Below are 23,273 nucleotides of genomic sequence, written 5' to 3'. Positions count from 1 at the left end.
AGCAAAAATATTTGGACCTTTTACAACATAATATCTATGAGCAATAAAGTAGTTGTAAAATCCCCAGAAGTTGAACTTGAAATAATTGTCATTAAGATGTGTACAAAAATGTTCCCACACTATTTCTGAGATTTGTATAATAGTGTAGGTATCAGGGCAGCCAGGATATCTGGCTAATAAGTTTAATCATGCCAACAAAAAATGTGAGATTCATTCTGTGCCTGTTTTCGGACAGCCGGGGAGAAGTAAGAGAGAAAGAGAAAGATTTTAAGTTTCTGAAATTGAAAAAAAACATTAAAGAAAAATGTAAAAAGAGAGAGAGAAATAGGGTTTTGACTCCATGATCTGTGCAAACTGAAGCACTTAACTACCAGAAGGCCATGGATAAATAATGATATGCTGAATTACAGGCTTCTCAAAACAAATAAGGTACATCTAAAATATGAAATGATAGATAATAGAGTGTATTTGGAGAGGCAGCATGTTACCAGTCTGTCTGGTTTCAAATCCCAATTCTACCACCCTGTGACCTTCAACAGGGTACTGTGACATCTCTAAACCTCAGAACTTTTAATTTATAATATTACACTAATTATCACACTTAATTAATAGAGCTGTTGTAAAGATTAAGTGAGATATTATAAGGAAAGCCCTTAAATTATCACAAGAACAGATAATTTTGTACCCATGCAATAATTATGGCATCTCTGTGAGCCAAGAAGCTGCATGTACTTAGATGGGTTATTTCAAATTCTAACTGAAACAAACAAACAACAACAAAAAAACCTATGTACTCAGATATTATGTATCTTTAAAACTTATTCCTTATTATATTATTTAGGAGATAGAGTGCCAAAGAATTTTTTTTCACTTGGTTTTTTTGTGGGGGGTGGGGTTTGAGACGGAGTCTTGCTCTGTTGCCCAGACTACAGTGCAGTGGCCTGATCTTGGCTCACTGAAACCTCTGCCCCTTGAGTTCAAGTGGTTCTCCTGTCTCAGCCTCCCAAATAGCTGGGATTACAGGCAGACACCACCACACCCAGTTAATTTTTGCATTTTATTTTATTTTATTTTATTTTATTTTATTTTATTTTATTTTATTTTATTTTTTAGTAGAGACAGGGTTTCACCATGTTGGCCAGGCTGGCCTTGAACTCCTGACCTCAAGTGATCCACCCGCCTTGGCCTCCCAAGGTGCTGGGATTACAGGTGTGAGCCACCGTGCCTGGCTTGCTTGTTTTTTCAACTCTTGTTTCTTAAAGTCGTTTAGGCATTGGGAATGCAATGGAAAGTTGTATTCTCTGTCCTCTAAGGACTAAGGAATATAAAAAGACAGACAACTCCAGCTAAGCATGGTGTCATATGATTAGGGAAATTCTCTGAGAACACATTCCCTGAGAATACCTTCTCTGGAACAGCTAACTTAGGCTCACAGTAGATCAAGGAAGGTGTTCCTGAAGGAAGTCATGTTGGAGCTGTTTCTCAGAGGATGAGGAGAGACAGCTGGTGAAGGGACGGAGGTGGCAAGTTCCTGAGCATGCAGACTGGGCTGCAGGAGAGAGCAAGTGTGCCTCATGAAAGGAAAGTCATCTTTGAGAATGGTTGCAACAGAGAATGTAATATAAACAAGGGTGAGAGAAGAAGCTGAGAAATGAGCAGAAGCCTTGGTGAGCCCAAGGAAGAGACTTCACTTTAATTACTGATGATTAGGAATTCTCAGTGGATTTTAATCAAAGAGTGACATGACTGGGCCTTCTTTTTTGAGGGATTATGCTCCCTGCAGCAGAGAAAATGGAGACAGGGATACTAGTCAGGAGGATGCTGGAGAGAGAAACCTGCAGGAAGGGCAGAGTGGTTAGATCATAAGGAGTAGAATTGTTGGGATGCAGAGACTGATTTCATGGGATGAGAGTGAGGAAGATGAAGGAACAGGCAACTCCTCGGTTTCCGCTTTGGGAGATGCGGTAGAGAGTGATGCCATTCATTGGGCTGATGACACTAGAGGGAGAGGAGCTGGGGAAGAGGGAGGTGAAAGTTGGTAGGTTAGTTATTTTCTTTGAGCCTGAAACACTTGCAAGAAATCCAAGTAGACATGCTTACAAGGCAGATAACTATAAGGGCCTTGAAAAGGATATTTTTACTGAGCCCAAACACATGCATTTTATGTGCCCACTACAGGACCCGGAGCTTGGAAGGTACAGACAGCAAGCAAGCAAGGCCCAGAAGAAGGACCAGGGCAACTGCTCTTCAGGAAACTGGTCAGATCATCAGAAAATGGCCTGATGGTGAAACTGTGGCTCTATTACTTTGACTTGGGGCGCAGCATGCAGACATATCTGCAGCATGAAGCTCCTCCAGAACCAGACAACCTGAATCTACAAGGCAAGGACTTGTTCAAACCAACAAATCAATCTTCCATGTGAAGCTCTGGGGCTTTGCCTTTGTAAGCCCCTCCCTTGCCTTGGCCAGACAGTCTTCACCAGAGCTGCTCCTTTTTGTATATTATGAATAAATTCCCATGTTTTAAGTCAATTATCTCTGTAGTTTAACTCTATAGCAGATCTTTGCAGCTTGACGCTCATTATGCCTGAGTCCTTTTTTTAAAAAAATTTGTCTAGAGCTCAAAAAAAAAAAAAAGAGGTCTGAACTACAAATAATAGATTCAAGAGTCCTGTGGGCTGCTGCATAGGAAATAAAACAGAAAAATGACATGGGTTGTGTCACCTTTAGAGAGTAATGATGCACACAACCATATGAATAGTTCTGAGAAATTCCACTCAAGAAAAAACTCATTCAACTTTATTGAACACATCATCTCTAAATCACTTGGCCCCGAAAGGTTTTTTCCCCTAAGTAACCTCATTAAATCCCATAGAACTAGAGTTTTGAGGCCAGGCACGGCGGCTCAAGCCTGTAATCCCAGCACTTTGGGAGGCTGAGGCAGGTGGATCACCTGAGGTCAAGAGTTTAAGACCAGCCTGGCCAATATCGGGAAACCCTGTCTCTACTAAAAATACAAATTAGCTGGGCATGGTGGTGGGTGCCTGTAATCCCAGTGACTCAGGAGGCTGAGGCAGAGAGAATTGCTTAAAACCCAGGAGGCGGAGGTTGCAGTGAGCTGAGATTACGCCACTGCACTCCAGCCTCGGCGATAGAGCGAGACTCCATCTCAAAAAAAAAGAACTAGAGTTTTGTAGAGCATGCTTTGATAAATGATAGCTTAGGCATTTTGCAAGAAGTAAGTTTATTGATACTCATATTTGTATAAATATTTATATTTTATAACAAAAATAATATCAACCAGATTATATGATTTTTCTGTTATTTCTTCATTGAAGTAGTTTCACTACTAAATGCTTTGTAAAGCAAAGTACCACTTTCCAGATCACCAGAGGAGCTGCAATTTAGGCATAATATCCATGAGGAACTAACCAGCCTCTAGAGAAGTATGTCTTTACATCTGAAGGATGGGCTGGGCACAGTGGCTCATGCCTGTAATCCCAGCACTTTGGGAGGCTGAGGCAGGCAGATCGCTTGAGCTCAGGAGTTTGAGACCAGCCTGGGTAATATGGTGAAACCCCACCTCTACCAAAAACACAACAAAATTAGCCAGGTGTGATGATGCACACCTGTAATCCCAGCTACTTGGGAGGCTGAGGCAGGAGGATTGCTTGATGTCAGGAAATGGAGGTTGCAGTGAGCCGAGATCGCACATTGCACTCCAGCCTGGGCAACAGAGCCAGACTTCATCCACCCCCCCAAAAAAAAATCCGAAGGATGTCAAACACATTGAAAACCCAATAAAATTTATATACCATCTCCCTAGGTGGAACAGTGCATATTTTCATCTAACCCATAAAATCAAGAGATCCACAGGCCCTACATCACAGGTAAAGAGCTCCTGCTTTCTAAGACACTAAAACAATTTAAACCTAATCAATAATGGGCAAAGTAGCAGTGCCCCTGAAATCAAAAGTCCTTTGCCTGTGGAGTATGTGTGAAGTGCATCCTTTGGTCAGTAACTGGAGCCAATCTCCAATGCCAACTGTCTTCCAGGTTCCAGATTTGTCTGTGGCTCTGCAGCTGGCAGAGGCTTTCCAGCCAATTCTATTACTTGCCACATTGTTTGGGGCTGCACTTTAGTGAATCATTGTAGATTTTCTTCCGAAATTCATGCTTTCAGTTATCCTATTTGAACTTCCTGTCACAGAAGCTGAGTAGTGAGGGGCTCTGAAGAGACAATACATTTATGGTAGGAAGAATACTAAACTGAGAGATTGATGATAGGAAATTTTCCCCCACATTCATCATTAACTAGCTATGTGATCATGGAAAAGGTGCTCTATTTCTTCAGGTTTCTCAATGATGAATTAAGTACAATTATTCCTACCCTTCCTGTCTCACAACATTGCTGTGACAAACCGATAAACTAAAGCCCATGAAAACACTTTGAAAATTCTGAGGTTACATATAAATGTAAGAGAGGGTTATGATGATGGCAGACATATCTCTAATTATTATGAATGGGACTCAGTAAATACTTATTCATAATGGCCCTTGGTTATGATTTTGTTGTGAGTCATCACCACTCAGACAATGAGTTGTATGTGAAGACAGCTTGAGTTGAAATTTCCCATGGAAGGTATGTGGCAGTGTATCAGATTCACTACCTTTATATGTAGACTATCTACACTACCATTATGGGTTCACCCATCTACTTTATAGCATTACCACTAGGTTGTTGCTATTTAATGTGGTGCTAGAACCCAGAGTTGAACTGTTTCCCACAACTTTTGCTTTGTGAATTCAAGTGAGATTGTGCCACGGCACTCCAGCCTGGGTGACAGAGCAAGACTCCATCTTAAAAAAAAAAAAAAGAAAGTAGAAGATATAAACAATTCTATCTCTGTTTCTGCACTTCAGAGGGCTATTTAAGGCTAACATTAAATATATTTTAAAACCTTCTTGAAATAAAACTTTTACATAAAGGTGAGATGTTAGTGTCACATCATTTATGAGGTACATTGAGCAGCCTAACGATTATAACAAATTTTTAAAAACCTGACAACTTTTTTTCTGTAGGCCCCTTGTGGTATTTCATAAAAACCTAACAACTTTTTTTTTTTAATTTTAATTTGAGACAGAGTCTCAATCTGTCACCCAGTCTGGAGTGCAGTGGAACGATCTTGGCTCACTGTGGCCTCTGCCTCCTGGGTTCAAGTGATCCTCCTGCCTCAGCCTCCCGAATAGCTGGGACTACAGACATGCGCCACCATGCCCGGCTAATTTTTGTATTTTTAGTAGAGACAGGGTTTTGCCATGTTGGCCAGACTGGTCTCGAACTCCTGACCTCAAGGGATCTATCTACCTCGGCCTCCCAAAGTGCTGGGATTACAGGCCTGACAACTTTTTAAAAACAATTACATGCTAAAGAATTCAGAGAAGACTACATTTAGAAGTGGAAATTTGGGACTGTGACTAGATTCAGTCAATCACTCATTCTTTTTACTAACATTTACCATCTAAAATTAATTTATTTATAAATATCTACTGTATATATGGTGGCTAAAAAAACAAACAAAATAGACATGGTTTCTACCTGTATGGCACTTACAATCAAATGGGAGAGAGAATCCAAAAAGAAAGCAAATGAGTATGTAGTTACACCTCGTGATGAGCTCAATGAAAGGTGTACTGTGAAAAAAGTAAGAGGTGAAGGGGCCTATTTTGATTGGCTTATCACAGAAGACCTATCTGAGCACATGACATTTAAGCTCAGAACTGAAGAGAAGTCTAAGCCAAGGAAGAGAGACTGCAAAACCCTAAAGGAATGAAGGAGATTAGCATGTTTGAGGAGTTATAGCAAGACTTGCACTAAATTTTAGTGAGGGCAGAGATCACTAGAGCAGGTTGGTCAAATATTGATGAGACTGGTAAAATGCTGAACTTCAACCTAAGTGCAAAGAAAAGCTTTTGAAGGATTTTATGTAGGGGAGTGAATGGATCAGATTCAGAAAACAGAAGGATCAGTTGAGTGGCTACTATAGTAGGCCAAACAAAACGTACCTGTCTGCTTAGACTATGGCAGTGGCAATAGAGAAGAGAAGTGGACATTTGAAATGTATTTAGAAGGTAGAATGGAATGGATTCGGTGTTGGATTAGAAACTGGGGGTGAGACAGTGGGAAAAATTGAAGATGGCCCTGTAAGATCCCAGAATATGCCACTCCAAAATGGGAAGGATTGTTGAGCTTCAAACAATTAAAAAGAAAGAGATGCAGAAAAGCTCTATTTGCCTAAACGCAAGACATAGATTTACAAAGACAATAGGTACCCCCTCTCTACCAAGAATAACAAAAGTTAACCACTGAAGACAACTTTAGATCCTTACGGCCTGGCAATGGCTGCAGAGGTACCTACATTAACAAACTTTATTAACTAGCATTTATCTGCCATTTATTTGCCTTCCCCCAAGTTGCTACTCATAGAAACTCAAAGTCCTTTTCCTCTGTCTTGTCACTTCTCTAAAAATTTACTGTTCTTTATTAAAGATACTATATAAACTGGCATTTAAAGCCACCTCTTTGAGAGCTATTCATTCCCCGGATTTCTCCCATGTATATATAAAATGTACATGTTAATCCATTTCTATTTGTTTTTCTTTCTTTCTTTCTTTCGTTTTTGTAGAGACCGAGCCTTGTTATGTTGTCCAGGCTGGTCTCAAACTCCTGGCCTCAAGCAATCCTCCCACCTCAGCCTTCCAAAATGTGGAGATTACAAGTGTGAGCCACCATGCCTGGCCTTCTATTTGTTTTTTTCTTGTTAATCTGTCTTTTCTTACAGGGGTCTATTATGACTAAGAATATATGAGGGTTGAAGAAAAAAATTTTTTTTCCCCTACAACGCCTCATTGTCTGGCTCAAGCAGGTGAATGGGTGGGAACTATGTGTCAGGCCCTGCGCAAGGTCAACGATGACTCACCAGGCTCCCAAGTGTCATCTTCTGCCTTGGGTTGTGCAAGTGGATGCACTACTTTCAGTTCACCAAGTGGTACAAATGATGAATGGAGGTTAATTCTAACCATGTCCTTTCCAGTGTGTTTGTTGGCTATCCAAATTGTCTTCATTTTCCATGTTGAATAGAAGATACGGTCACCAAAAAGGGACATTGCAAACAAATTATGCCTAAAAAGCAACCACAAAAGAAAAAAGAACAACAGAACATTTGTTCCTTGTCTTATTAGAATTTCACTTCATTTCAATTTATTGTCTAAGTTTTAACCACCTACGTTTTCAATTGTTTCTCATTTATGTTTAGAAAAGTATATTAAGTTTAAAATTTTATTTATCTCCTCATACTCTGAGCTAATAAGATATAATTTCTAGCTCCAGATCCATTGTCTCATTCTTCTTTTAGTCATCCAATAAGTGTGATGAAAATGGGGAAGAAAATAGGAACAGAGTAAGAGTGGGTTTCTAGTGACATCAATTTCACATGACGAATTTCTGCTTCTTGCCACAAAGCTGGAAAGTCAGTTGCTGGCATGATAGCAAATCAATGAAAGATAAAAATATGTAACATCATAATTCCAAAAAGAATAATTATGGTCAACATGTGAGAACTTATTATGTGCCAAATACTCTGTTAATTATTTTTGTTTGTATTCATTTACTTTCCCTTCACAATAATCCCAAGAGACTGATATTATGATTATCCTCACGTTAAAGGAAACTGAGGATAAGAGAAGTTATAGAACCTACTCAAAGTCACTCATCTAACAGACGGTAAATCTGGAGCTTGAACTCAAGTCTTTTTCTTGAGACGGAGTCTCGCTCTGTCGCCCAGGCTGGAGTGCAGTGGCACGATATCGGCTCACTGCAAGCTCCGCCTCCCGGGTTCTCGCCATTCTCCTGCCTCAGCCTCCCGAATAGCTGGGACTACAGGTGCTCGCCACCACGCCCGGCTAATTTTTTGTATTTTTAGTAGAGACGGGGTTTCACCGTGTTAGCCAGGATGGTCTCGATCTCCTGACCTCGTGATCCGCCGCGCCCGGCCAAACTCAAGTCTTTTGGATTCAAAATCTATGGCCTAAACCACTATACCAGTTCCATTGACAAAAGTAAAATTAATTTATCTTGTGGACTTCAAATGACAATTGTTTTATTTTATACCAAGAGTAAAACTTACTGTGTTGGATGTTTACTAATGTGGACAGAACCTCCATCATAATCACAGGAGCAAATAAGAGAATTGCTTCCTTCTCTGTTGTACTGAATCCAAAACAGCCGCTTATCAAGCACATCCAATGACACAGCTGTTATTTTCTCTGATGTCTCCAACAGAGCCTTCACTCCCACACCATCGAGATCTGCTCTATAAAGGCTTCCAGCCACCTCTGAAGACCAAAATATAAACCTGAGGGCAAACACATTACATAGACCCAAAAATGAATGTATAGTGCCTTAAATGGCCAACTCTCTCAATGTTTCAGCAGCTCCTTCACAGGGCAAGTTTGACTATTTTGAATGAAAATTTATTCAACAAGTAAACACTGCCCTATTGTAGACATTACAAGTGATTTCAAGTTAGAAAGGGAATTATGCCTCTATAGCAGAAAACCATGATAGTTAGGAATATTTATGGGGGGATCCTGTCTCAGTTGAAATGCAGGCAACTGTCCTATAGAAAACGGTGCCTGTGTGCTGCAAAAGAGGGCTTTGGTCTCAGTGAGAGGATCCCTTTGAATTTACAATGTTATAATTCTATCAATCTTCACTAGATTTGTAAATATATTTCAATGTCTGAATACAGCAGAATTTACCTTTCTACTGGATCAACTGCTACATTTGCAGGATATTTTAAAGCACTTAAAAGAATGTGGGAATTATTTCCTTTCATATCTGTTACTGTAATGATTCCTTCCTGTTGATTTGACCAAATAACTTCTTCATTTATCCAATTTATTGCCATTCCAGAAACATTTTTCTCTATATTACATACTCTCTGCAAAATCAAATTTTAAAATTGTTATTAATACTTCCCCCATTCACAACAAAATTATTTTAATTGTTATATATAAAAAGTCTATTCTTTTAAGTATTTGTCATCTTTATGCAGTTCCAAAATTGTTTAAATAATAAAATAGTCACAGATACGGTGCCTTTGTTTTGATGCAGCATTTACCTCCTCTGACCCTTAAGTAAATATTTCTGGAAATAGTATTTATAGCTTTGAAACTAAAAATTATCCTACACACTATTTAAATTAGGAAGCCAACCATAATGTATTGATCATTTCAACTATAGTAATGGTGAAATTTTGATGCAACCATACAGACAGCTTATTCAGTTCCATTTGCTAATGGAAATTTCCAGATCTTCAACTGAACTCAATTCCAAGCTATGCAAGATTTCCTTGGAGTCTGAGCTTACAGACATGAACTCGATGAATTTCTCATTGTGGCCTTTATTCTTCTGGCCCTCCTCCTCCAATAGGCCCCTTCCTTTCTATAGTCCTTCATGCCGTCACACTGTGACCAGAGTAGCAGAGTGTCTTTTTAGGCACCTTTGGCTGTATTCCCAACTCTTTCATGATAAAAATGCCCAACCAGAACTTTTCATATCTTAATTTCAGCCACGGGCAGGTAAGCTGGTCTTCTTGGGGAATGGAGGTTGCAAGGTGGGCAGAAGCCCCAATTTGTACTGTTAAAGATTTTCATGGTGTAAATATTCAACCATGGCAGACGTCCAGCTACCCAGGTGACATCACTGAAATCAGAGTTGGGCTGAAATTGCATAATCTCATAAGCCTGTGCTATTTCTACATTTCATACAAAGAAATCTAGCCAACTTATTTTACCATTGAAAATAATGGCCAAAACTGCAATTACCTTTGCACCAACCCAATCCATTCATAAATTAGCTCACCCAGGTAAATTGTTTGAATTTTAACAGTTGTCCTTTATAAACAAGGTTTTAACCCAAAGGAAGGAATATAAGGATGGAATTTTAGGCAACAGGCTGATCCTTTCCTAATGGCTTGATATAAATTCACAACTATTTTAAGTTTTTCCATGTTCTTGATAGGAAACCCTTCAGATTCTTAGACTCAAGAGTTTGAAACTATACTACCAGATGTCTGGAGGATAATGAGTAGCCATCCTTGTTAAAAGTGAGATTAGCAAGTATTGGAGATGTGATAAAACAGATTAGCACCTAATTGAAGCTTTTAAGAATAACTGGAAAGAGAAATATTTGGCTAAAAAACAAAAAATAGTGTGGACTTTGCATTGAGAATCAACTCTTAAAGTTTCTCTAGTCATGTGCTCTTTGTAATCCATCACCAAATTGAGAGAAACATTCCTCCTGGGACTCATGTAAGGGTTCTACCAGCTAAAAAGAAAGATTAAGGATCTTTTGTATGTACATGAAGTAAAGTACTTATCTGTCATCTGCTATATTATTTTTTTTGCGGAGTGCAAGCTCTGTGAGAATAAAAAGAAGAAAATTTTTCTTTCTACGTGTCAGGTGCCAAAACCCATGACGGAGATTTTATACAGATAAAACAGGGTCTCTCAACTTCAGCACTATTGACATTTGGGGCTGGACAATTCTTTATTCTGGGGCTGTTCTGCACAGTGTAAGATGTTTTGCAGCATCCCAGGCCTCTACCCACTAGATGCCTGTATCGTCTCCACCTTCCTACCTCACCTACTTGTGACAACCAAAAATGTTTCCAGACACTGCCAATTGTTCCCTCAGGGAAAAATTGCCCCCCACCTGAGAGCTACTGGGGTACCTTACAAATAGCAAGAAATAATCATGCAAATAATCTATCTTAATCATAAAATGGTGATCTGACTTAATAAACTCAGATATTTTCAAAATTACATTCATATCCTCACTTTCTCATTTTGGGGCTTCTAAATATCAATGTGTGAATTTATTCAAGAATATACACCACAGATGTAGATTAAATAAATGCCTATATTTGGCAGACACGCATTTGAACTGTTATATAATTTTCATTTATCTATACATTAAGAATTCAGTATATTATATTTGTCAGCCTGTACAAAAACAGCTCAAACACTGTAGGTAAGGGTATTTTACCTCTTGCCTTGACCCATTCAGAAAAACTCTTTGCAAAAGTTGTCTTTCTAAATCCACCCAATAGATTCTTTTCTCATTATAATGAAAATCCATGATCACTGAGACACCAGCATCCACCACCAATTGCTCATAATTGGTTCCTTCTGTGTCAATCCTAAAGATACTATTTCCATGGGAGAAAATTAAGAAGGGTGCAGGACCTGGGTGGGAAGAAAGAGACCAAACTGTATACTTTTAATATTTTATCTCATTTAAACAAAATACTTCCCAATGACAACCAACACAAGCAGAAATAATTTTTAATTACTGGTTTTCTGTTTAAAATAAAGTCTATTTATAGACAATAAAGAGTTCCTGTAGATATTCACACTCCACTTTGTAAATTGTCTTCTCCACAAACTGATTATAAGACATGAACATTGGTAAATTATGAAAAATGAACTCTCTGAAGAGAAAGACACTTTTTACTCTTTATCCATAAAATACCTTTTTATGTTCAAAAAGGAACCACCCATCATATTCTATTGTGGAAAGGATTTATATAAGTGTAAATTTTAATTATGTAAATTAGAACTAAAATTACAGATATTATCATTTTGGAAATGGACTCCTTGGGTCTTACCTATGACCAGAGCCTTCAGCATAATGACCTAGAAGACGACGGTGAAAACTAAAAGGTCTTAGACGGAAGCAGGAAAAATTGAAATGCTGTTTCAATTTCAGAATCCTGTAAAGGTTCTGAAATATTTTGACCCTGTTATCTTTACCACATAAATACAGGATGCCCAAATAAATTTGAATTCCACATATATTGCATGGGACATACACTAAAAATTTGTTCTCTATTTACCTGAAATTCAAATTTGACTGGGCACTTTGCATTTTTATTTGCTAAATCTGGGTGGCAAACCTCACTAGATTTCTTGGTGCCTGTAGGGCCTTGCTTGGTACCCTAATCCTGTACCTGGGGTCCTCTCCTGTTCTAGGTGATGGCCACCTACCAACTCTGATGCCCCAATATTCAATATCTACTTGGGAACCTGATCCCTTCTTGGGAAACCTCACCACTAATTACTGACAGACTCCACACACAGCTTGCCTGTGATGCTCTGAGATGACACCAGAGGATGAAATTAGTTACATCAAGTCAAGTTAGTTTTCTTGGTCTCTCTCTCTTGACCAAGTGTGAGGAGGCTTGGGCCACTCTGCCTTTAGAAAATGACAGAATCACTGGGGTAAGTGGGGAATGGAGGGGAATTCTAACATATTCTTGCTTCTGTGCTGGGCTTACTCCATTCTGTTTTATCATCAAAAGTAATACTTTAATATGACTTAATAAATGTGTTTATTGTAAGCATTGAACAAAATGATGGGTTAACATCCTTTTACTCAGGGACTATGTTCTAGAGTCAGAAAACACTAACTCCACTTTGGAGAGTACGTTGAATTAAAGCTACAAGAGGGTTGGCGCTTCCAAGATGGCCGAATAGGAACAACTCAGGTCTACAGCTCCCAGCAAGATTGACACAGAAGATGGGTGATTTCTGCATTTCCAACTGAGGTACCTGGTTCATCCCACTGGGACTGGTTGGACAGTGGGTGCAGCCCACGGAGGGCCAGCCGAAGCAGGGTGGGGTGTTGCCTCATGTGGGAAGTGCAAGGGGTCAGGGGATTTCCCTTTCCTAGCCAAGGGAAGTTGTGAGTGCCTGTAACTGGAGGAACTGTACACTTTTGTCCAAATACTGCGCTTTTCCCACGGTCTTTGCAACCAGCAGGCCCGGATGTTCCCTCCCCTGCCTGGCTCAGCTGGTCCCATACCCATGGAGCCTTGCTCACTGCTAGCGCAGCAGTCTGAGATCGATCTGGGATGCTAAAGCTTGGTGGAGGGAGGGATGCCACCATTGCTGAGGCTTGAGTAGGTAGTGCTATGCTCACAGTGTAAACAAAGAGGCAGGGAAGCTCGAACTGGGCAGAGCCCAACGCAGCTCAACAAGGCCTACTGCCCCTTTAGATTCCACCTCTGGAGGCAGGGCATATCTGAACAAAAGGCAGCAGACAGCTTCTACAGACTTAAACATCCCTGCCTGACAACTCTGAAGAGAGCAGTGGTTCTCCCAGCACAGCGTTTGAGATCCATTAACAGACACACTGCCTCCTCAAGTGGGTCCCTGAGCCTGTGTAGCCTCACTGGGAGACACCTCCTAGTAGGGGCCAACAGACACCTCATACAGGCAAGTGCCCCTCTGGGACAAAGCTTCCAGAGGAAGAATCAGGCAGCAATATTTGCTCTTCTGTAGCCTCCACTGGTGATACCCAGGCAAACAAGGTCTAAAGTGGACCTCCAGCAAACTCCAACAGATCTGCAGCTGAGTGGCCTGTCTGTTAGAAGGAAAACTAACAAACAGAAATGAATAGCATCAACATCAACAGAAAAGACATCCACATCAAAACCCCATCCGTAGGTCACCAGCATCAAAGACCAAAGGTAGATAAAACCGCTAAGATGGGAAGAAACCAGAGCAAAAAGGCTGAAAATTCCAAAAACCAGATTGCCTCTTCTTTTCCAAAGGAACACAATTCCTTGCCAGCAAGGGAACAAAACTGGACAAAGAATGAGTTTGACAAGGTGACAGAAGTAGGCTTCAGAAGATCAGTAATAACAAACTTCTCCGAGCTAAAGGAGCATGTTCTAACCCATCGCAAGGAAGCTAAAAACCTTGAAAAAAGGTGAGACAAATGGATAACTAGAATCAACAGTGTAGAGAAGAGCTTAAATGACCTGATGTAGCTGAAAACCACAGCACAGGAACTTCGTGACACATGCACAAGCTTCAATAGTCAATTCAATCGAGCGGAAGAAAGGATGTCAGCAATTGAAGATCAAATTAATGAAATAAAGCAAGAAGACAAGATTAGAGAAAAAAGAGTGAAAAGAAACAAACAAAGCCTCAAAGAAATATGGAACTATGTGAAAAGACCAAATCTACATTTGATTGGTGTACCTGAAAGTGACGGGGAGAATGGAACCAAGTTAGAAAACACTCTTCGGCATATTATCCAGGAGAATATCTCCAACCTAGCAAGGCAGGCCAACATTCAAATTCAGGAAATACAGAGAACACCCCCAAAGATACTCCTCGAGAAGAGCAACCCCAAGACACATAATTTTCAGATTCACCAAGGTTGAAATGAAGGAAAAAATGTTAAGGGCAGCCAGAGAGAAAGGTCGAGTTACCCACAAAGGGAAGCCCATCAGACTAACAGCAGATCTCTCTGCAGAAATCCTACAGCCAGAAGAGAGTGGGGGCCAATATTCAACATTCTTAAAGAAAAGAATTTTCAACCCAAAATTTCATATCCAGACAAACTAAGCTTCATAAGTGAAGGAGAAATAAAATCCTTTAAAGACAAGCAAATGCTGAGAGATTTTGTCACCACCAGGCCTGCCTTACAAGAGCTCCCGAAAGAAGCACTAAATATGGAAAGGAAGAACCGGTACCAGCCACTGCAAAAACATGTCAAATGGTAAAGACCATGGACGCTATGAAGAAACCAGCTAGCACCATAATGACAGGATCAAATTCACATATAACAATATTAACCTTAAATGTAAATGGGCTAAATGCCCCAATTAAAAGACACAGACTGGCAAATTGGATAAAGAGTCAAGACCATCAGTGTGCTGGTTTCAGGAGGCCCATCTCATGTGCAAAGACTCACATAGGCTCAAAATAAAGGGATGGAGGAAGATCTACCAAGCTAATGGAAAGCAAAAAAAAAAAAAAAGCAGGGATTGCAATCCTGGTCTTTGATAAACAGACTTTAGAGAAACAAAGATCAAAAGAGACAAAGAAGACCATTACATAATGGTAAAGGGATCAATGCAGCAAGAAGAACTAAGTAGCCTAATTATATGTACACCCAATACAGGAGCACCCAGATTCATAAAGCAAGTTCTTAGAGACCTACAAAGAGACTTAGACTCCCACACAATAAAAGTGGGAGACAATAACACCCCACTGTCAATATTAGACCAACGAGAAAGAAAATTAACAAGGATATTCAAGACTTGAACTCAGCTCTGGACCAAGCAGACCTAATAGACATCTACAGAACTCTCCACCCCAAATCAACAGAATACACATTCTTCTCAGCATCACATCACACTTATTCTAAAATTGAACACGTAATTGGAAGTAAAACACTCCTCAGCAAATGCAAAAGAACAGAAATTGTAACAGTCTCTCAGACCACAGTCCAATCAAATTGGAACTCAGGATTAAGAAACTCACTCAAAACCCCACAACTACATGGAAACTGAGCAACCTTCTCCTGAATGACTACTGGGTAAATAACGAAATTAAGGGAGAAATAAATAAGTTATTGGAAACCAATGAGAACAAAGACACAATGTACCAGAATCTCTGAGACACAGCTAAAGCAGTGTTTATACGGAAATGTATACACTAAATGCCCACAGGAGAAAGCAAGAAATATCCAAAATCGACACCTTAACATAACAATTAAAAGAACTAGTGAAGCAAGAGCAAACAAATTCAAAAGTTAGAAGACAAGAAATAACTAAGATCAGAGCAGAACTGAAGGAGATAGAGATATGAAAAACTCTTCAAAAAATTAATGAATCCAGGAACTCGTTTTTTTGAAAAGATTAACAAAATAGACTGCTAGCCAGACTAATAAGGAAGAAAAGAGAGAAGAATCAAATAGACACAATAAAAAATAATAAAGGGGATATCACCACCGATCCCACAGAAATACAAACTACCGTTAGAGAATACTATAAACACCTCTATGCAAATAAACTACAAAATCTGGAAGAAAGGGATAAATTCCTGGACACATACCCCCTCCCAAGACTAAACCAGGAAGAAGTTGAATCTCTGAATAGACCAATAACAGGCTCTGAAATTGAGGCAATAATTAATAGCTTACCAACCATAAAAATTCCAGGACCAGACGGATTCACAGTCGAATTCTACCAGAGGTACAAAGAGGAGCTGGTATCATTCCTTCTGAAACTATTCCAATCAATAGAAAAAGAGAGAATCTTCCCTAACTCATTTTATGAGGCCAGCATCATCCTGATATCAAAGCCTGGCAGAGACACAACAAAAAAAAGAGAATTTTAGGCCAATATCCCTGATGAACATTGACATGAAAATCCTCAATAAAACACTGGCAAACCGGATCCAGCAACACATCAAAAAGCTTATCCACCACGACCGAGTTGGCTTCACCCCTGGGATGCAAGACTGGTTCAACATACGCAAATCAATAAACATAATCCATCACATAAACAGAACCAACGACAAAAACCACACGATTATCTCAATAGATGCAGAAAACGCCTTCGATAAAATTCAACACCCTTACATGCTAAAAACTCTTGGTATTGATGGAACGTATCTCAAAATAATAAAAGCTACTTATGACAAACCCACAATCAATATCATACTGAATGGGCGAAAACAGGAAGCATTCCCTTTGAACACTGGTATAAGACAAGGATGCCCTCTCTCACCACTCCTATTCAACATAGTATTGGAAGTTCTGGCCAGGGCAATCAGGCAAGAGGAAGAAATAAAGGGTATTCAATTAGGAAAAAGGGACGTCAAATTGTCTCTGTTTGCAGATGACATGATTGTATACCTAGAAAACCCCATCGTCTCAGCCCAAAATCTCCTTAAGCTGATAGGCAACTTCAGCAAACTCTCAGGATACAAAATCAATGTGCAAAAATCACAAGCATTCCTATATACCAATAACAGACAGCCAAATCATGAGTGAACTCCCATTCACAATTACTACAAAGATAATAAAATACCTAGGAATCCAACTTATAAGGGATGTGAAGAACCTCTTCAAGGAGAACTACAAACCACTGCTCAAGGAAGTAAAAGAGGACACAAACAAATGGAAGAACATTCCATGCTCATGGATAGGAAGAATCAATATCGTGAAAATGGCCATACTGCCAAAGTAATTTATAAATTCAATGCTATCCCCATCAAGCTACCCCTGACTTTCTTCACAGAATTGGAAAAAACTACTTTAAAGTTCATATCTAACCAAAAAAGAGCCCCTATACCCAAGAAAATCCTAAGCAAAAAGAACAAAGCTGGAGGCATCACACTACCTTACTTCAAAATACACTACAAGGCTACAGTAACCAAAACAGCATGGTACCGGTACCAAAACAAATATATAGACCCATGGAACAGAACAGAGGCCTCAGAAATAACACCACACATCTACAACCATCTGATCTTTGACAAGCTTGACAAAAACGAGCAATAGGGAAAGGATTCCCTTTTTAATAAACGGTGCTGGGAAAACTGGCTAGACATATGGAGAAAGCTGAAACTGGATCCCTTCCTTACACCTTACACAAAAATTTACTCAAGATTGATTAAAGACTTAAATGTAAGACCTAAAACCATAAAAACCCTAGAAGAAAACCTAGGCAATACCATTCAGGACATAGGCATGGGCAAAGACTTCATGACTAAAATACCAAAAGCAATGGCAACAAAAGCCAAAATAGACAAATGGGATCTAATTAAACTAAAGAGCTTCTGCACAGCAAAAGAAACTATCATCAGAGTGAACGGGCAACCTACAGAATGGGAGAAAATATTTGCAATCTACCCATCTGACAAAGGACTAATATCTAGAATATACAAAGAACTTAAACAAATTTACAAGAAAAAACCAAACAACCCCATAAAAAAGTGGACGAAGGATATGAACAGACACTTCCTAAGAGACCACATTTATGTATGTGTCAAATTGTCTCTGTTTGCAGATGACATAACTGCATATTTAGAAAACCCCATCGTCTTAGCCCAAAATCTCCTTAAGCTGATAGGCAACTTCAGCAAACTCTCAGGATACAAAATCAATGTGCAAAAATCACAAGCCAACAGACACATGAAAAAATGCTCATCATCACTGGTCATCAGAGAAATGCAAATCAAAACCACAGTGAGATACCATCTTACGCCAGTTAGAATGGCGATCATTAAAAAGTCAGGAAACAACAGATGTTGGAGAGGATGTGGAGAAATAGGAACACTTTTACACTGTTGGTGGGAGTGTAAATTAGTTCAACCATTGTGGAAGACAGTGGGGCAATTCCTCAAGGATCTAGAACTACAAATACCATTTGACCCAGCAATCCCATTACTGGATATATACCCAAAGGATTACAAATCATGCTACTATACAGACATATGCACACATATGTTTATTGTGGCACTATTCACAATAGCAAAGACTTGGAACCAACCCAAATGTCTATCGATAATAGACTGCATAAAGAAAATGTGGCACATATACACCATGGAATACTATGCCGCCATAAAAAAGGATGAGTTCATGTCCTTTGCAGGGACATGGTTGAAGCTGGAAACCATCATTCTCAGCAAACTATCATAAGGACAGAAAACCAAACACCGCATGTTCTCACTCATAAGTGGGTGTTGAACAATGAGAACACATGGACACATGGAAGGGAACATCACACACCGGGGCCTGTTGGGAGGTGGGGGGCTGGTGGAGGGATAGCGTTGGGAGAAATACCTAATGTAAACGACGAGTTGATGGGTGCAGCAAACAAACATGGCACATATATACCTATGTAACAAACCTGCACGTTGTGCACATGTACTGTAGAACTTAAAGTATAAAAAAAAAAAAAAGAAAAAAAAGAAATGCTACAAGAGGCTGGGAGAACTGTAAGATTATGAGAGTTTGAAATAGGTGCCAGCATAAATGTCTAAGAGAATTCACTCAAATTATTATTCCCAGATCTTTGCTACAATACAAGCCCCGCTATGCAGACACATAGCGAGGGCCCATGCTCCACTGCAGTTGTAGAATCACGTAGACATCTTGGGAAAAAGGGAAAGGGCACTAGACAGAAAGCCAGAGGCCTGGTTTCCAGTCCTGACCCCACCAGCTTCGCTTCTCTGGACATCTCACAGGATCTCCCCTGCCTGTATCAGAGGATTATTATGGGAAAAAAATGAAATTATAGATGTGAAAGTATTTTATTAATTGTGGAGGACTACATGTATATCGTTTGCCATTGCTTTTTGCCAGAAACAAGTTTTCACTACATAGGTTGTGCAACTGCTTGGATTTGAACCCAGGGACTGGAACATTGGTATAACTTGTCTCTAATAACTTGTCTCTAATACAGCAATTCATCATGGAGAAAAAGAAGACACTAGGAAGAGACACCTTAAACTCATAGCTACTAATTCGTGGGGCAAAGATTACCATGGACATCTAGATTTATTTCTAAGAGTTCTCTGCTATGTGTATCATGCATGCTCTATAGTCTATGCTGAATAAATGTATCCAATATATATTGTTAATTTCCTAATGCATTGACATATTGGTGAGATCAATAAAATATTTTATTTATTAAAAAATATTGGGCCAGGCGCGGTGGCTCATGCCTGTAATCCCAGCACTTTGGGAGGCCGAGGCAGGCAGGCGGATCATGAGGTCAGGAGATCGAGACCTTCCTGGCTAACACGGTGAAACCCCGTCTCTACTAAAAATACAAAAAATTAGCCAGGCATGGTGGCGAGCGCCTGTAGTCCCAGATACTCGGGAGGCTGAGGCAGGAGAATGGTGTGAACCCGGGTGGTGGAGCTTGCAGTGAGCCAAGATCATGCCACTACACTCCAGCCTGGGCAACAGAGCGAGACTCCGTCTCAAAAAAAAAAAAAAAAATTTATATATATATATATATGACTAAATGGGAGGTTTTCATGTAAAAAAAAAAAAAGAGAAAGAAAAGGCTCTTTAAACATTTTAATATTCCTTACCACATAATGCAGTACAATCCTCTGTACATAATAGGCACTCAAAAATTTTGAATAAATCAATAAACTAATGAAGAAATAATTGTGTTCTGTTTATTTGCGCTTTTACTAATAGAACAAAGCCATAGAAACAGATATATCAAATTAATAAAAGATGGGTCTAGTCAATGGTAGTTATCTTACTAACAGCAATAATAATAACAAATTTTTACATCCTGACCTCATTTATCCTCAACATAACACCATGAACCAATAAACCAATAAGTCAAAGGGAAAAGAGAAATCTCAAGAATTTGTAAATTCATAAAGCACAAATTATAGCACTAACTTCTGTAACTTTTCAAAAAAATAGAGTAGTTATAAAACTACAAAATCAAAGTATAAATAATTAATACATTTTATCTTCAGATTTTGCCCATCTAAGGGCTAATCATAGCATACAGATCCTAGCAACTAGGAAGACTCTTGACATTTTCAAATTGTTTCCCAAAATTGTTTGTTTAAAATAATCACCCAGGGTGCCTCTCTGTGAGTGAATGTTCCTATTTTTTGCAGATCCCTACTCTACTCTTGAGATTCCAGTTAATCCAGCAGGGCTGGGCTGAGGGCTATGCTTTTTTCTTTTTTCTTTTTTTTGACCAGGCACTCCAGGTGATTCTCAGGTCTTGGTGAACCAGGAAAACATGGATCTAATTAAGAGGAAATTCAATGATGTTTCCCAAAGTCCCACCACTAGTAGGTGGTAGACTTGGAATTAGAATCCAGGTACTGCAATCGCAATCTAGTGCACTCGCAATCTAGTACACTTCCAACTCCACCCTGCCTTGGTCTGGGTTGTCACATGTCAAGATATTACAATCTTCATTTTCTTTGCGTAGCCAATTGTAATTCCATTCCCTCAAAGCACCGTTTATTTTTCCTACACTGTCAACATCATTTTATGTAAACCAGAGCCCAGGCTATATTTGTAAGAATGTAATAAAATATAATTTTAAAGAAAATGAAACACTTTGAGAATTAGGCTTTGTGAATAATAATTACAGATGTGAAAGTATTTTATTAATTATGGAGGACTACATGTATATCATTTGCCATTATTCTGTTCTACCAATGGAAATGATAAATATGGTAATGTTTTTTCAGACCTGTCAAGAACTCTGTAAACACTGATGTGTGGTACAGTCTGTGGATTTGAATGTCAGCAAGGTGTGCATGTTTGAACAGCTAAAGCTTTCCCATGTCAAAACCTACAACATTTGTTTTGGGTGCAGTTCAGTAAGGGGGGAAGTACATACAAAATGAAACATCATTTCTAGGGAACACAAACCTTAAGGCAGCAAACAGCAAATCAATTAGAACCTCTGACTTCTCAACCTAGGGATTAGTAGGGGATCTTCAGGAATTAGAAAGGAGTTCAGAATGTTTGGAGCACATTGAAGATGTTCATCAGTGACTACAAAGAACTATGACTACATAACACAGAGGTCAGTGATGAAAAGCAAGCTTTGCTTGAAGTAGGAAGCAGAAACAGAACATTTTATAACACACACCCCTTCATCCTCTGTGAGTCTGAGGGAGTGCCCCACACAGGTAAGTGAGAAGAGACATTACCTGTCTTCTGCAGGCCTTGGGGGCAAACACTCATGAGAGCTAGTTAACACATAAATGATAACCACAACCAGATTAACAAGAAATCCTAGCTGTCTATCAGGTGAACATTGCCACCTGCCCTCACCACCACAGGTTTCTTGCCCTAAATCTAGAGACAGACTGAAAGCTCACAAGATGAAGAGAGTGCAAAGGGAGCTTCTGGACCTCAAAAACTTCAGTGACACCATGAGAAAAGAATGTGGCTCTAAACTAATGGACCTACATAAGGAAGGCTGAGGCCTCCTCACACTGCTCCCACAGAAAGCCCCTAAGAAGAGTCATTTATTACTACTCCCCAGGTGCTGACTTAAATGACAGCTTGGGTTTTATGAAGTACAGAACGTTTTATTCACTCCAAAAAACTATCTCATCTCCTCTTCAGTTACGGTACTTAAAAGAGCACTGTATTAGTCCATTTTCACACTGCTATAAAGAAATACCCAAGACTGGGTAACTTACAAAGGAAAGAGGTTTAATTGACTGACAGCTCCACACAGCTGGTGAGGCCTCAGGAAAATTACAATCATGGCGGAAGGCAAAGTGGAAGCAAGCACCTTCTCCACATGCGGCAGGAGCGAGAAGAGACAGCAAAGCGGTGAAGCCCCTTATAAAACCATCAGATCTCGTGAGAACTCACTCACTATTAGGAGAACACCACTGGGGAAACCGCCCCCATGATCCAATCACTTCCCACCAGGTCTCTCCCTCAACACCTGGGGATTACAATTCAAGATGGAATTTGAGTGGGGACACACAGCCAACCATATCAAGCACAAATTTCTTTTCACAGCTTTCTTCTCAGTTTATTCATCTATGTCAAAATTCAGGTCAAGTGAGAGAGAGAAGCCAGATGATTTAAAAATAATGCACCCAGAAAGAAGAGCCAGGAGATTTGAATTTAAGTCTTAATTCCATTAAAAAAATGCTCTGGAACTCATTTTGCTTCACCAAAATTGTGAATGAAGATTGCCTAGAGTAGTGATAGAAATGTGTCATCCAGAGCAGAAAACAGCCCCTACCTACCCCCAGCCACATTTACATGTAAACTGAAGAGGCTTACTTTCCAGGTCCTCAGGATATTAATTGAGACTAGCAAGTTCTGCAACATGAAACTTGTTTCGTTTTGTTTTCAACAGGACTTCTCAGTCTTTAATGTGCTATTCCACACTCTAACACTCTAACAGGGTGGGTGGTGAATTTCATCAGAATAATTACAGTCAACATATTGTGTGTTATCTCTGGGGGAGCATATTGAATGCATTATTTCATTCAATTGGAGAACACTAGGAGGTAAATGCTCTCAACATCTCTATTTTACAGAAGAAGAAAGGAAAGTTTCAAGCAGTTAACTTGCCACAAGTCACAAGGCCAATAAATAGCGGGGTAGGGGTACAAAGCTATGCCTTTCTCAACACAGACCCTAGCTTTTAAAGACCAAGCTATACTGCTTATCTGAATGTACTAGAAATTGTTCAGTGTGTTTTAGTTCAGTTGTGTCAAGGAACCCACACCAGGAAACACTGTTCTAGGCATATTCACCATAAGGCTGGATTCCCTACATCCATCTTCCATAATTAATTATAAAGCAGGTCCCTTTAAATAGATTCCTATAATTACATCACCTGAATAATTTTATATCTACTTCTATAATATAT

At 39.5% G+C, this 23,273-nt stretch overlaps 1 protein-coding gene across 4 annotated transcripts in view; it reads right to left on the bottom strand.

Moving 5' to 3' along the window:
• EGF (epidermal growth factor) overlaps positions 1–23,273 on the bottom strand; it is a 100,884-nt gene that overhangs the window by 61,511 nt on the left and 16,100 nt on the right. For all 4 annotated transcript variants that reach the window (NM_001963.6, NM_001178130.3, NM_001178131.3 and 1 more), the window contains exons 2-5: positions 11,111–11,310; positions 8,821–9,002; positions 8,187–8,414; positions 6,981–7,183 (exon numbers count right to left, since the gene is read on the bottom strand). In NM_001963.6, the coding sequence (NP_001954.2) occupies positions 6,981–7,183; positions 8,187–8,414; positions 8,821–9,002; positions 11,111–11,310 (813 nt within the window). The remainder of the gene's footprint in view (positions 1–6,980; positions 7,184–8,186; positions 8,415–8,820; positions 9,003–11,110; positions 11,311–23,273) is intronic.

This window comes from Homo sapiens, chromosome 4 (assembly GCF_000001405.40).
Source record: "Homo sapiens chromosome 4, GRCh38.p14 Primary Assembly".
NCBI lineage: Eukaryota > Metazoa > Chordata > Mammalia > Primates > Hominidae > Homo > Homo sapiens.
The sequence above is the reverse complement of the archived record's forward strand: the minus strand, read 5'-3'. Positions and strand labels throughout refer to the sequence as shown.